Here is a 16082-nt window from a genome sequence, read left to right as displayed (position 1 = left end):
GCCAATTTGGAACTCTCCAGAGAGTCCTCACTAGCGAGCAGGCCTTCACCAGATGTGGGCCATTGACCTCAGACTTCACAGCCTCCAGAACTGTAAGAAATAAATGTATTTTCTTTGTAAACTACCCAGTCTCAAATATTCAGTTACAGCAGCAAACAATTAAATAGGAAACAGATTAAGAAACATAATTATTCAAAGTCTTTTTGCCTTTCTTCTCTAGCACTGGCATTTTGACTTTCTCCCAGAAATTTCTGTCATCCCTCATCCCCACTGTAAATGTGAAGGAAGAAAAAAACATAACTACTTAAAATTACTGCTACCTAATAGGGAGGATAGATCCTGTTAAAGTAATGACTCTCAACTAAAGATATATTTTTTGTGTTCAGCTAAGAGTGTTGACACATTTTATACATATTCAGGTAGGCCAAGAACTCAGTTTGGTTTTTGGATTATCAGAAAGCTGAATTTCACAGCTGCTATGGCCTGAATGTGTGTGCTCCCCTAAAATCCGTATGTTGAAACTTAATCAACAGTGAGATTGAATTAGGAGGTAAGGTCTTTGGGAGGTAATTAGGTTAGGAGGGTGGACCCCTCATGAATGGGATCTGTGCCCTTATAAAGAGGCCTAGAGTGTTGCCTTGCCTCTTCTGCCATATGAGAAAACAGCAAAAAGACACTATCTATGAACCAGCAAGTGAACCCTCACCAGACACTGAATCTCCATTGCTGTTGGACTTCCCAGCCTCCAGAATTGTGAGGCATAAATTTCTGTTTTTCATAAGCTACAAAGTTTATGGTTATTTTTTAATAATAGCCTAATAGACTTCTCCAACTTTGTGAGAAAAAGAATTAAGGCGTGAGAGGAAAACCAATAAATTGATGAGAGCTCTGAAGTAATGTGATCTGTCAGGAATACCCCATGGCTGAATGTCCAAAAAGTCTTTTAATAATCACAACATCTAATTTGAAATAGCAAGTTGTTTCTTGTTTGTTGAAACAATGTAACCCTTTCTTTGTTATATGCCAACAGTCATTAAATGTTCTGCATACAACAGTCCTGTGTCAGTGGTTAATTTGGAAGAGTATATCCGAGAGCTAATGTTTGAGTCAATTTCGATGGAGATAAAGGTTGAAAAATTCAGAATAGAAGACAAGTATTAAGTAGAAGCAGGAATCAGAGTCGAAAGACAATGAAATTATAACCTGTTACTGGAATTTGCAGAAAAACTTGTGGGTTTCGGCTTTTCCACAGGAATGGCAGCCATCCACTTTACACAAGGAAAGGATGTGTTTTTTCTTTTCTTTACTCACTGAAAGTGATTAATCATATGGATAATGGCATGAGAGCAGCAACACTAGCAACACTAGTTAGGAATATATATGTTAGCTGGCCCACTAGTCTTGCTCACTAAGAGACTGGCTATTGTGTATAATTCCTACAGTACATACAAATCAGATGCCTTCCAAAAAAGATTTACAAAGCACTAATATATAGTTAAAATAAGGCCGGGCACGGTGGCTCATGCCTATAATCCCAGCACTTTGGGAGGCTGAGGCAGGTGGATCACCTGAGGTCAGCAGTTCGAGACCAGCCTGGCCAACATGGCAAAACCCCGTCTTTACTAAAAAATACAAAAAAAATTAGACAGACATGGTGGCACGTGCCTGTAGTTCCACCTACTTGGGAGGCTGAGGCAAGAGAATTGCTTGAACCCGGGCAGCAGAGGTTGGCAGTGAGCCGAGATCACACCACTGCACTCCAGCCTGGGCGACAGAGCGAGACTCTGTTTCTCTCTATATATAAAAATATTAATAATAATAATAATATTAAATATGGAGTTCACAGGTTGAAGGTATCTACCACATAATTATTATTTTGATGTGTCATAACCAAACATATCAGTTTCATAAAATATTAAATCAATAAGTATTTATTATATGCCAATGTATTTATAACTGTGATAAGTATGATGGGTTTATAAAACAAGCTTATGCAAATTTTCCTTTAAAAACTCACAATCTAGTTAACCTAAGAAACGCTACAGAAAGAAAAAATTACTTAGGTTAGGTAATCTGTTTTGTGGTCTCAGAGAACTTCACAGTACTTTGAGGCATTGCACTTGTATATGTATTTGTGTGGTATTTGAGTATTGCGTATTTAAACCACTAGATTGTGAAGAGCCTGTGTCACTCTTGTCCAAGATTATATATGGGGCTGTGTTTGTCTTGCTCTTGTTTGTATTGCCAGTGCCAGCACAATATTTGGCACATACTAAGAGGCAAAAAAAGTCTTGTTGAATAAATTAATGAACAAGAGTCTCTTATGAAAAATAGTGCTATATCTTGATATAATCAAGCGTTAAATTATCTGCGGGAGGCAGAAAAATAAGACAAAGCAATGCATTCATGTAATGTTTAGCTACTAAGTACTAAAGGAGTTTGAAAAGGAAATGATTAATAATGAGGGCCATGTAACGCTTTTTCTGGGTATTTTTTTTAAAGATGAGAAGCACCAAATATGTTTGAGGGTGAAAGGGAAGGGATCATGGAGTATAGGAAATTGATTTTACATAAGAAGTCCTATTTCTGTTTTTAGTTCCAAACATACAGTAGCTGGTAATCATTATTAAATATCGATTACCAAACTATGCTAAAAAGCAAAAATATGTGTCTCCTAAGTTTAAAAATGAATAATGTAAAATTATTCAGATAATATGGAAATTGAATAATCACCATAATAAAACATTCATCATATATTTGAAAAATATTAACTGCATCCTCCCTTAACAATCTCATCTTTAAAATCACACATCTTTTAGCGTGTCTCATCAGACCTATTTTCTGTTTTTTTTTTTTAATTAATGTTATTCTGTTCTAGACCTTCTCTCTAGGGTTCTTATCTCCTTTGCAAAGGTCAATGACCCTAATCAATCTAATATGCTCATACTCTTCAGAATAAGGCAGGGCGTTTCTTCTTAGTCATTGTGTTTGCCTTTTGCTATTCTCAATGTCACATTGACTGTTGATTCAGACTAGAAATGTTTTTGATGAGCATTCAGTTCCAACCTGAATTTTTTTTTTTACTTCAGTTGCAGGCCACTTTGTACATACCCTAACCAAATTTTATTCTATTTAGACTCATTTTAAAAACTTTATCATGATCATTTAAAATTGCATTTATGCCTTCTACGGTGTTAAAATCTCTGAATAACTTGCTGCTATCTTAAAACCTGCTGAGCATAACCTCAAGTTCTTTATAGTGAGGGTCAATAAGGATGCTAATTGCTATGTAGGGCCACTCCTCATGGTTACTATTACTATATTGCATATCCACCAGAATTAACTCCAAAACCCCAATAACCTATTCCTTGTTTTAAATCAAACTAGTTTTGTTATTATCATATATTTTTATTAATGAGAAAATCCCGTGAAACATTATTGAAAGCCCTACTGAAATCAATATAGAGCACATCTTTCCAGGTGATAACATGAACCTAATCAGTCTGCTATTACTTGGTGGGGTTGGGGGGGGGGGGCGTTAATCTTTTCCTTTGGGATATATCAGCTTCAAATTTGCCCTTACTAATGCTTTGCGATGCCATGGTCTCCTAAAAATAATAGCTTGTGGTTTTCCTGGGACATATGCCAATTATATAAGCAGCCTAGAGTGACAGTGCTTTCTGACACAAATTACTCAACTTCATATTTAAATTTTTTCATTCAGACACAGCATGCTACTGATGAGTAGTTCTCTTTTATATTTATTTGAATAATATTTGATCCTTTCTGACCAAATTAGTATCATTAAAAACAGCTGTTCCCATTCAATATAATGTACTGCATGGTACAAGTAAAATTCAAGTAAATGGCATGTTCCTATTCCATTTTTGATTAAATAATCAGCCTCAGCCTGATGCCTTTCTAGGGCAATGTTATTGTGCAAATTTAATTAGCTCATTTTGGCTATAATTGCCTCAAATTGTGTTCAGAATTACCAAGCTTATGGATTTCATGTTGCAGATGTAAAGAAGTGACTGAAGGTCTAATTTGCAAAAACTGTATTTTAAGATGCACAATGGGGCAGAAAACCATGTCTGTCTCACCTCAATGTAGAGGCCTGTCCTCTTTTTGTTTCAAAAGGATAATTCTTTAACCATTTTTCTACTTCTGAATACACTCATCTACTGTTACAATGAGTAAAATCCCCACAAAGTCTTATACGTGTTATTTTTTCCTATTATATCCTTACTTCAAAGGGAAAATATGTCACTTCACAACAAACCACTTGTCAAGAAACACTTCGAGGGCACTTTAAAGGAATAATCCATAAGAAAAAAAAAATACCAGAGGGGTTTTCTACCCAATTCTGAAGTGTAAAAACAGTAAGATAAAGTGCTAAATGTTTATCTGTAGATTAAGCCTGTGATAGTCTTCTGAGGAAATAAGGGTGAGAATTGGACTGCAATGTCAGAAGTGACTTTTGGAAGGCTTCACTGCATAACCTATTCTACATTCGTGAGATAATATATCTTCTTTGGTATGGAAAGTAGAAATGTGACCTGACACATCCCTGTAAATTGTAGTTTAAGTTACGTGTGTAACATTCTGGAGCATTTTTTGTATGAGAAGCGATTTCTGATTAGATGCTGCATTATCCAGTCCTGTAATCATAATAATTTATGTGGTATGAAAATAATGCATATTTTTCCTTTCCCTAGCAAAGAGACCGTCAATACATAAAAAAGAGATGTGAGGCCCTGGCTGGGTTTTTGGACTCTGAATCCCTCCTCTTCTCACAAATGAGGATGACTGTTATTGTCATGCTGGTCCTCACTGGTTGCAAGTTCAGGCCACTGTACCCTCAAAGCCCCTCAAATCTGCTCACCTACCTAAGTCCCCAAAGTAGGATGATTCCTTTTCTTCTGGCCCTTCAGGGTGAGTCTCAGCTGGGCTTCTGAGACCAAAAGCCCCAACAGATGCTCAGGATCAGACATAGGTCTGAAACCAGAGCTCATCCAAGGAGGCAACAGCTTCTAATCCCAGAAACCATCAGAAAGCCCAAGTGCTGAGAATTAAAATTGGCATCTTAGTCCTTTGAACAGCCTGAGTGGTGACTGCTTAAACTAACTGTTCTTCATTCTGGGTACACATTGCAAACTTCTGGGGAGATTTTAAAAACACCAATACCTGTAACCTATACCATTTAAACTAAATTGGAATCTTTGGAGAGTGCTCCCCAGGCAGCTCTAATTTTAAAAGATTTGAATTTTAAATGATTTTCAGGTGTTTTTAATAAGCAGTCAGAGGCAAAAACCACTGGCCTAGAAGGACAAACACTGCCTGGCCTTCTGCCTTTTTTTTTTTTTTTTTTCAGGATCCCAAGGATACTGCTGTGTTTCCAAATATTTATTAGGAGCTTACTGTGTTACAACAGTAGGTGCTGTTTTAGAAAAGGGGATGCAGCTATAAACAACACCAAACTGTCCTACCCTTGTGGAGCTTGAATTCTGATAGGGAACTTTTGTTTTCTTCTAGGTCTGATGGAAGACAACAGGACAAGAGTCAGTTATCTCAGAGCTCCCTGAACTATCCAGGAGAAAATGATGGTTCTGTTCAGGACTCGACACTCATCAGCTGCTTATTTCTGAATCCTGACATGAGCTAGAACCCCTAAGGATGAAATATATTCCCACCTACTCTTCTACCAGATCTCTACGGTTTGAGAACTGATATTCAGAGTCAAGTCCACCTGCTATAATGATTGAACTTATCCTAATGATGTTAATCTTCACTTCAGTAGAGGCTTGTGATCAAACGATCTCTGTGTGATATTGCAAAACTGTCATATAGGGATTGAAATAAGTTCATATCAACCATATAGGGATTGAAATAAGTTCATATCAACCATAAGACCAAGCCGAGGTCACATTCTTACTTTTAACACTCTGAACTTGTTACAGAGAAGCATATATCCTTCACCCATTAAACTGTGCTGGAAATTTAGTGAGGTTACCTTAAAAGATGTCTGCGCCTCAAATGGCTCATTGTGAAAATAGGAAGAATAGTAACTACCTTGAATAACTGTTGTATTAAATGAGATCTTTCCTAAACTACTTAGCCTAGCATTTGAGATTCTGCATAATTTCCTCAGAACTACACCACTCCACATAGGCTATAGTCTCATCGCCCTGCATTCTTCTGGTTTTTGCCCTTTCAGTAATATGCAATAAACATTTACCCTGTCAATAAAACATGTCATTTTCTACACTTTAAATCATTGTGTTATATTCTATTAAGTGAATCTATGAGGATTTATTGCTGTTGGACTTTGCGATTGTTTCTTATTTTTCACTACTCTAAACATAGCAAGAAATAATGGAATTAAATGTTTGCATATACCTTGATTGGATCAAATGCACTTGTGAATATTCTATAACTACTCCTCATTCTTCTTAGCCATTCCTCCTTAGTTTGCTGATTTATTAACCATGAGGTTCAGTCCTCAAAACTTTCTCTTACCACTGTTGATGAAACCGTTGAATCACGTGGATTTAAATATCATATCTACACTGAGAACTCCCAAATTTATATACTCAGCTTGGACCTTCTGCTGTACTCCAGAATTACATATTTTATTGCCTCCAGTTACACCTCACTACTTGGATGTTTAATAACCAGTTCAAAATTCACATGTCCAAACCCAAACTCTTGCTTTTTCAATGAAATGTAACTACAGACATGTCTATATCTGCAAATGCCAACCTCATCCTTCTAGATGCTTAAGCCCAAAACTTAAATTCATTCTTGCCTCCTCGGTATCACAATATAACAAATGCTGTTGGCTCCATCTTCAAACCATATTACTTAGTCTACCTGAACTGCCAAGTGCTATCACTCGAATACAGGTCACTATCCTCTCCATCCTGGATTACTCCAATCGTCTCCTAACAGGCCTGCCTGTTATTTTTTTCTGTTATTTTTATTTTTTTTTTCCTGCATTCCCCAGGCTCAGAATATTGTCAACACAGCAGCCAGAGTGATCCTAAAATAAGTCATGGCTCTCTGCTGAAAACTATCCAATGATCCAATGGCTTCCCTTCTCATTCAGAGCAAAATTAAATTACTAGAGTAGTCTAGACACTCCACAATATCTGCCCCCCTTAAACTGTTAGCTGTCTGACCTCAAACTTTCATTATAATCTTACTGTAAGCTCCCTCCTTCAGCTACACTGGCTTCTGGGAGGTTTTCCTAATTGGTCAGGCATGCTGCCTTCTCAGGCTCTTTGGCACTAACCCTTTCTTCTGCTTGAATGCTGAAGCATAGACATCATGGCTAGCTGCTTCATGTTCTGTAGATCCTTGTTCCTCAGGAAAGCCTTCTCTAAGCATCCCATTTTAAATGAAGACCCGTATCCTTTAACCCCCCTCTGTTTCTTGAAATAAAAATATAAGCATCATACCTACTATATATGGTACTAATTCATTTTTTACATCTGTTTCCCTACTAGGTTGTAATCTCACAATGGCAGAGGTTTTTACCTATTTTGATCTATCCCCAGCATCTATAACAAGTGATCATGCTCTAATAGCATCATGCTTTATTATAGCTCCTACCATATTTATAATTTTGATTTTTTTACTTAGGCTAATGTTTGGCTCTCTGACTAACACATGGGCCCATGTAAGCCTTCAGAGTATATTTGTTGGTTGACTGAGTGAATTAATAAATACCTAATTATTTCCATGTTTTAAAATACTAGAAATGAGATGCTATCCAAATGTAAACGTTAAGTTTCATTCCAAATGTAGCCTTAGTCTAGTGGCTTTTTTTTTTCTTCCTGCCTTCAGATAGTTTTTAAAAAATTTCATATTATTTATCTTTCATAAAGCCTTTATTTAGTTGTAATTAATATAAAGTAAATTTTGCCCATTTACATTATTCACTTCAATTTTTCTTGTATACTTACATAGTTGTGCAACCCTCACCACAACCAATTTCAAAAGATTTTGATTAACCCAATAAAAAACCCCATACCCTTTAAGATTCATCTCTCTACATCCAATTTCCTCTTAACATGCACACCCCCCTCCCAAGTCCTAAAAAATTACTCATAAGAAATTTATTTCTGTCCATTCTCTTGGGAGCACTAGCTGGCACAGATCCTGTGAGGCCACCCCCCCCCCACCCCACCCCCGCCAGTGTCCTGCCCCTGCATCTACACTGCCTGCAGAGTGAAATTATTCATGGAGAATAGCAAAGCAACCCTCACCCTGAGTGGCCACCACTGCCTGTATGAATATGCATAGACAGCGCACACATGTCTGATGTTGTGCCTACCAGTGCCCTGCCCCCATGTTAATCCTCACCACTGGCAGGAAGGCATGCACAGTCATTGGCAAGGGGCCTTCCTGCACTCCTCCAACTGTGCTGCCACCACCACTGCTGCAAATGTCCGCACGGAGGTCGGTACCATGGCACCTGCTAGCACCATGCTGCAGCCAATGAATGTGCACCCCGTCGTGCTGCCACTGCCATTGCTGCTGGCAAATATAAATGAAGACGAATCTTGGTACCACTGCTTTATGAAGTGCCTTAGCTGACACTACCCATTGGAATGTTGTGACCAGTGGTTCAGGAGCACGTTGGCCCCTCCAGCATAGCAGGTTCCTAACCTTGAGAAGCCAGAGAACAAAGCTGGGGTTCAATACCAGTTCCCTAGAGTTACAGAACGCAGCCCAGGAGTTGTGAGCTGAGCCTTGGCCCATGAAAATCTTCCAGAGCTGAAGCCAGTCGGCTGAACCCAACTTATACTACAATCAAACTTCCCAAGTTCATCAAATAGGGTAAGAGCAAAAAACCTATTCAACTTCAAAGCAACTTCAAAGACTGAAAGAACATCAGCCCACAAAGATGTGAAAGCGCCTCTGCAAGAACTGTAACCAGAAAGCCAGAGTGTTGTTTTTCCTCTAGATGACTGCACTAGTGGAGTGTTGAAGTCTCCCAGTATTATTGTATGGGAGTCTATGTCTCTTTGTAGGGATCTAAGAGCTTGCTTTATGAGTCTGGCTGTTCCTGTGTTGGGAGAATATATATTTAGAATAGTGAGGTCTTCTTGTTGAATTGAACCGTTTACCATTATATAATACGCTTCTTTGTCTTTTTTAAATCTTTGTTGGTTCACTGTCTGCTTTGTCTGAAATTAGGATTGCAACCCTTGCTTTTTTTCTGTTTTCCAATTGCTTGGTAGATTTACCTCCATCCGTTTATTTTTAGCCTATGTGTGTCATTGCATCTTAGATGTGTCTGGGTCTGTTGAAGGCAGAATATCATTGTTTGTTTGTTTGTTTTCCCTCCTGCTTGGAAATCAGTGCCTCTCTCTCTCTCTCTCTCTCTCTCTATATATATATATATATATATACACATATGTGTATATACATACATGTATATATGTGTGTATATATATGTATATGTGTGTGTGTATCTATCTATCTATCTATCTATCTATCTATCTATATATATATACTTTAAGTTCAAGGGTGCATGTGCACAATGTGCAGGTTTGATACATAGGTATACGTGTGCCATGTTGGTTTGCTGCACCCATCAACTCGTTGTTTACATTAGGTATTTCTCCTAATGCTATCCCTCCCCCAGCCCCCCATCCCCTGACAGGCCCCAGTGTGTGATGTTCCCTGCCTTGTGTCCAAGTGATCTCATCGTTCAATTCCCACGTATGAGTGAGAACATGCGGTGTTTGGTTTTCTGTCCTTGTGATAGCTTGCTGAGAATGACGGTTTCCAGCTTCATCCATGTCCCTGCAAAGGAACTCATTTTCTTAATCCAGTCTATCATTGATGGAAATTTGGGTTGGTTCCAAGTCTTTGCTATTGTGAATAGTGCCACAATAAACATATGTGTGCATGTGTCTTTATAGTAGCATGATTTATAATCCTTTGGGTATATACCCAGTAATGGGATTGCCGGGTCAAATGGTAATTCTAGTTCTAGATCCTTGAGGAATCACCACACTGTCTTCCACAATGGTTGAACTAATTTACACTCCCACCAGCAGTGTAAAACTGTTCCTATTTCTCCACATCTTCTCCAGCATCTGTTGTTTCCTGACTTTTTAATGATTGCCATTCTAACTGGTGTGAGATGGTATCTCATTGTGGTTTTGATTTGCATTTCTCTAATGACCAGTGATGATGAGCATTTTTTCATGTGTCTGTTGTCTGCATAGATATCTTCTTTTGAGAAGTGTCTGTTCACATCCTTTGTCCGCTTTTTGATGGGGGTAGTTTGTTTATTTCTTGTAAAATTGTTTGGAAACTCGGTGCCTTTTAAGTGGGGAATTTAGCCCATTTACATTCAAGGTTAGTGTTGATATATGTGGATTTGATCCTATCATTGTGTTGTATCAAAGACTACTATGAATATCTCTATACAAAGAAACTAGAAAATCTAGTAGAAATGGGTAAATTTCTGGACACATACACCCTACAAAGACTTGATTAAGAAGAAATTGAATCTGAACAGACCAACAAAGAGCTTAAAATTTTAATCAGTAATAAATACCCTATGAACCATAAAAAGACCAAGACCAGACAGATTCAGACCCAAATTCTACCAGATGTACAAAGAAAAGCTAGTAGCATTCCAGCTTGAACTATTCTAAAAAACTGAGGAGAAGGGACTCCACTCCAACTCATTCTGTGATGCCAACATCATCCTGATGCCAAAATATGGCAGAAACACAACACAAAAAGAAAAGTTCGGGTCAATATCCTTGATGTACATTGATACAAAAATTCTCAACAAAATACTAGCAAACCAAATCCAGCAGCACATCAAAGAGCTAATCCACCATCACCAAGTAGGCTTTATCCTTGGGGTGCAAGGTTGGTTCAATATATACAAAGCAATAAACATGATTCAGCACATAAACAGAACTAAAGACAGAAAGCACTTGATTACCTTAATAGATGCAGAAAAGGCTTTTAATAAAATTCAACATTCCTTCGTGTTAAAAAAATCCCAACAAACTAGTTATTGGAGGCAGATATCTCAAAATAATAAGAGCCATCTATGACAAATTCACAGCCAACATTATGCTAAGTGGGCAAGAATTAGAAGCATTCCCCTCAAAAACCAGCACAAGACAAGAATGCCCTTTCTCAGCACTCCTATTCAACATAGTATTGGAAGTTCTGGCCAGAGCAATCAGCAAGAGAAAGAAATAACAGGCATCCATACAGTAAGAAAGACAGTCAAAATATCCCTACTTGCAGATGAAATTATTATGTATCTAGAAAACCCTATAGTCTTGGCCCAAAAGCTCTTTCAGCTTATAAGCAACTTCAGCAAAGTTTCCAGATACAAAATCAATGTACAAAAGTCACTAGCATTCCTGTAAACCAACAACAGCCAAGCTGAGAGACAAATCAGGAAGGCAATCACATTTACAATTGCCACAAAAAGAATAAAATACCTAGGAATACAGGTAACCAGGGAGGTGAAATATCTCTATAATGAGAATTACAAAACATTTCTCAAAGAAATCAGAGATGACACAAATAAATGAAAAACATTCCATCCACATGGACAGGAACAATCAATATTATTAAAATGTCTATACTGCCCAAAGCAATTTACATATTCAGTGCTATTCCTATCAAACTACCAATGATATTCTGCAAAGAAATAGAATAAACTATTTAAAAACTCACATGGAACCAAAAAGAGCTCAAATAGCCAAGGCAATTCTAAGCAAAATGAACAAAGCAGGAGCCATCATACTACCCAAATTCAAACCATACTACAGGGCTACAGTAACCAAACAGCATGGTACTGATACAAAAACAAACACACAGACCAATAAAACAAAACAGAAAACTCGGTCTATATGCTGCACAACTAAAACCATCTGCTCTTCAATAAGGCTGACAAAAAAAACAAAACAATGGGAAAAATGACTCCCCATTCAGTAAATGGTGCTGGGATAACTGGTTAGTTATATGCAGAAGATTGAAGCTGGACCCCTTCCTCACACCATACACAAAAACCAACCCAGGATGAATCAAAGACTTAGATGTAAAACCAAACAATGAAAACCATGGATGACAACTTAGGCAATACCATTCTGAACACAGGAACTGGCAAAGATTTCATCACGAAGATGCCGAAAGTAATTGCCACAAATGCCAAAATTGACAAATGAGATCTAATTAAACTAAAGAACTTCTGCACAGCAAAAGAAACTATCAACAGAGCAAACAGACAACCTACAGAATGGGAGAAAATTTTTGCAAACTATGCAACTGACAAAGGTCTAATATTCAGCCTTTATAAAGAACTTAAGCAAATTTACAAGAAAGAAACAACCAACCCCATTAAAAAGTGGGCAAAGGGCATGAACAGGCACTTTTCAAAAGAAGACATACATGTAGCCAATAAGCATATGAAAAAAAGCTCAACACCACTGATCATTAGAGAAATGTAAATCAAAGCCACAATGAAATAATACCATCTCACACTAGTCAGAATGGCTATTATTAAAAAGTCAAAAAATAACAGATGCTGGCAAGGTTGCGTAGAAAAGGGAACACTTACACAACGTTTGTGGGAAAATAAATTAGTCCAACCATTGTGGAAAGCAGTGGGGGAATTCCCCAAAGGGCTAAAAACAGAACTACAGTTCCACCCAGTGAGCCCAATACTGGGTATATTACCCAAAGAAATACAGAGGCCATTATCCTCAACAAACTAATGCAGGATCAGGAAACCAAACACCGCGTGTTCTCACTTGGTGAGAGCTAAATTATGAGAACACATGGACACAAAACGGGGAACAATGGATACTGGTGCCTACCTTAGGGTGGATAGCAGGAGGAGGGAGAGGAGCAGAAAAAGTAACTATTGGGTACTAGGCTTAATAACTAGGTGATGAAATAATCTGTCCAACAAACTCCCATAACATATGTTTACCATATATTGTTACCTATAGGTCATATATAGGTTATATATAAAAAACCTGTACATGAACCCATTAACTAAAATAAGTTTTTTTTAATAAAAAGAAATCTATTTCTGTCTCTACAGATTCTCCTATAAGGGATACTGAATATAAATAGGATCATACAATATGTGGTTTTTTGTGACTGGCTTCTTTCTTAACATAGTAATTTCAGGAATCATTTGTGTTGTAGTATGTATAATTACTTCGTTTGTTTTTATTGCCAAATAATAAATATTCCTTTGTATGGACACATTTTGTTTTATTTATCCATTCATTAGTTGATATAAACATTAGATTGTTTCTACTTTTTGGACATTATAAATAATAGCAAAATAATGAATATGTGATTACAGATTTTGGTGTGGGCATCTTTTTCCATTTCTTTCTGACAATTTCATATTCAAAAATATTACTTCATTTTTTAAGTCTGCATTCATTGAATTTCTAGTGAATTATACATGGTTTCATATTTAAGCCATTTATTTAGATATTTTGTGAAATTATTCCCACATTCCTTGTCTTTTTTCCTCTTGTGTTATTGCTAATTAATCTTTTAAGTGGTTTTGTATAATAGATTAATTAACTATTTGCCAATCACATATATTATAAGTATTTCCCTCTACTGGGGGAGATTATAAGTTTCTACTTTATAAATGATTTGAAATGTATACTACAATGATATTCTAGAATGTATTGAAGTAGTATGAACACTTAGAAAAATTGTTGTTAATTTTTGTATTTCTTTAGTTTTTCTTTTCTTAACTTTAACTTTTTATTTTATATAGAATCAATGTTGATTTATAGTCTGAGATAGGAATCTAATTTTTTTCTATCACATAACATTTCAAAAGTTGTAAAAGAGGTGAGACAAAAGTAATATTTAGTTTGATTCTTAAGAACAAAGAAAATTTAATGAGCTAGAGCATATGTTCAACACAATAATCTCAATTAAACCAAATAGGCACACAACGCTTTTAGAATATTGGTTCCAGCTTCACCAAAGTGACCAGAAATACCTAGTATTGATGACAGTGAAATTGGGCCAGTTCGAATAATGTTGCTGTGATCATGCTTATGTCAAAATACCATAGTCATATCATAAAAAGATTTTTTTCTAAATAAAAATATTTTAAATATTCCTAGACTTAAATAATGAGAATGATAAATTCTACTCAAAAATATAACAATTCTGAGAGCACATGGTAAAATAAGCACCCCCATACAATATGTTTAATTATATAATCTATTGTTTAATCAAACCAGCAACTGTGTGTCAAGAACCTCATATATATCCATACATTTTTGGTCTGATAATTCCATTAAATTTGAAAGTTTTATTTACTCAACAAAGATAGAATTAGTACCTATCATGTGTCAGTCTTTCTGATAAAGCCTGAGAACATAGTGGCCCTTGCCCTCATGGAGCTTACGATCTAATTGAGAAAGATGTGAAGGAAACAGACTTTAAATGATCACATATGTGATTTTATAACTTCATTTTTCATGTGACATAAAAGAAAATTACAAAGTGTTAGGATAGCTGATTAGAGATGTGCCTGACCTACACCTGAAGGCCTGGGAAGGCTGATTAGATTTAACATAGAATTTAAGACCTGAATGAATGATGACTATGAGCTGGGTGAACAGAGTGCAAATGAGGGGTGATGTCCATAAAAATCCAGAGGATGAGGCAAGCCAAGAAGCAAACAGGAACATGTCATTGTAAATTCTCTATAGGTGATAAGCAGAGCAAATCAAGCCTATGCATGAGTAGGTACTGTATCTGAAATTACTGAGTGACATTTTCTTTTTTATCACATTGAAAGCATCTTATATATTAGTATGATAATGTCTGTGGATTATAACTATCGATGATTTGAAGATGCTGAACCACAAGCCAGTTGGATCACTTAAGATATTATGGAATCTGTTTTGGAAACAACCAGGTAAAAATGCCTTGTCAAAGTGTGGGAACATATTAAGCATACTTCCTAATGATTCACATAGATGCCCGTTTGTCAATTGCTTTGGAGTTAAGTGTGCTCCATTCTCCACTTTACTGTGATATCCTTCAGGCTCCATGCCTTGTCTCTTCTCTCGCTGTCATTCTTCCATTAGTGAAGAGCACTACTGTCTTCTTAAAGCATGTGATATCCATTGGTTTTGGCTCCCAAATTACCTATTTTACCCTGACTTCCCCAGTGCTTATCAGCTTGAAATTCCTTATTATTTTTCTCTTCTCTCTTTCTTCCAACCTAGTTGAGGCTTAATGGGACAAAGGCTAAGTGTTGAATACTTGCTCCAAAGTCATCACACTCTATTCTTTCTCAATTATTGGTAAAAAGTCTACTCTTCTCCTAGGGTCTTAATACCGGGTTTCAAGTATATGGAGCGCTACTGAATGGGAGGTCAGCAGTGATTACAGTTAACAGATGAGATGAGAATTTTCATAGAAACAGAGTTTGAAAGAGACTTTCAGGATCATTTAGCCGATAACCTTAGAAAGTGCCATCTTGATCCCTACTTCTCGCTCCTCTATCCTCTCTGACCTTGCCATAAAACCGTTGCTTGTCTCTGTTTTTAGTATTCTTAGAATATTATAATAACTTAGTATTCACTGCATTATGCTTTGAATAAGACTATTTACATACATATCATTCCTGCTTATCCATGGAAGATGTTGAATGCGGGAACCATGTCTTGCTCATCAACATGTTCCCCCATGCCAAGCCAAGTGCCTGTTACGTAATAAAGACACAATAGCTATTTTGGAATGGTTAAATGGTGCTAGAATTAAGTGGCTGGCACTGAAAGCAAAAAAGCTGCACAAAATTTATGACAGGAACTACGCAGCCTTTGAGGTGGCTATGCACTAATCTGGTTCCAGGTCCATCAGCCCTTATGAGGTATATGGGAAAGATAATCAGATGAAAATCAAAGCCAAAGCATTTGTTCCCTCCAGATTATGCCAGTGGCTATTCTCTTACATGACAAATTCCTCAGTCCACAGTGTGGATATCCATGGTCCACATAAGCACAAGGGGTCCTTTGCATCTGATAGAT

The sequence above is a fragment of the Homo sapiens genome, chromosome X (assembly GCF_000001405.40).
Source record: "Homo sapiens chromosome X, GRCh38.p14 Primary Assembly".
NCBI lineage: Eukaryota > Metazoa > Chordata > Mammalia > Primates > Hominidae > Homo > Homo sapiens.
The sequence above is the reverse complement of the archived record's forward strand: the minus strand, read 5'-3'. Positions refer to the sequence as shown.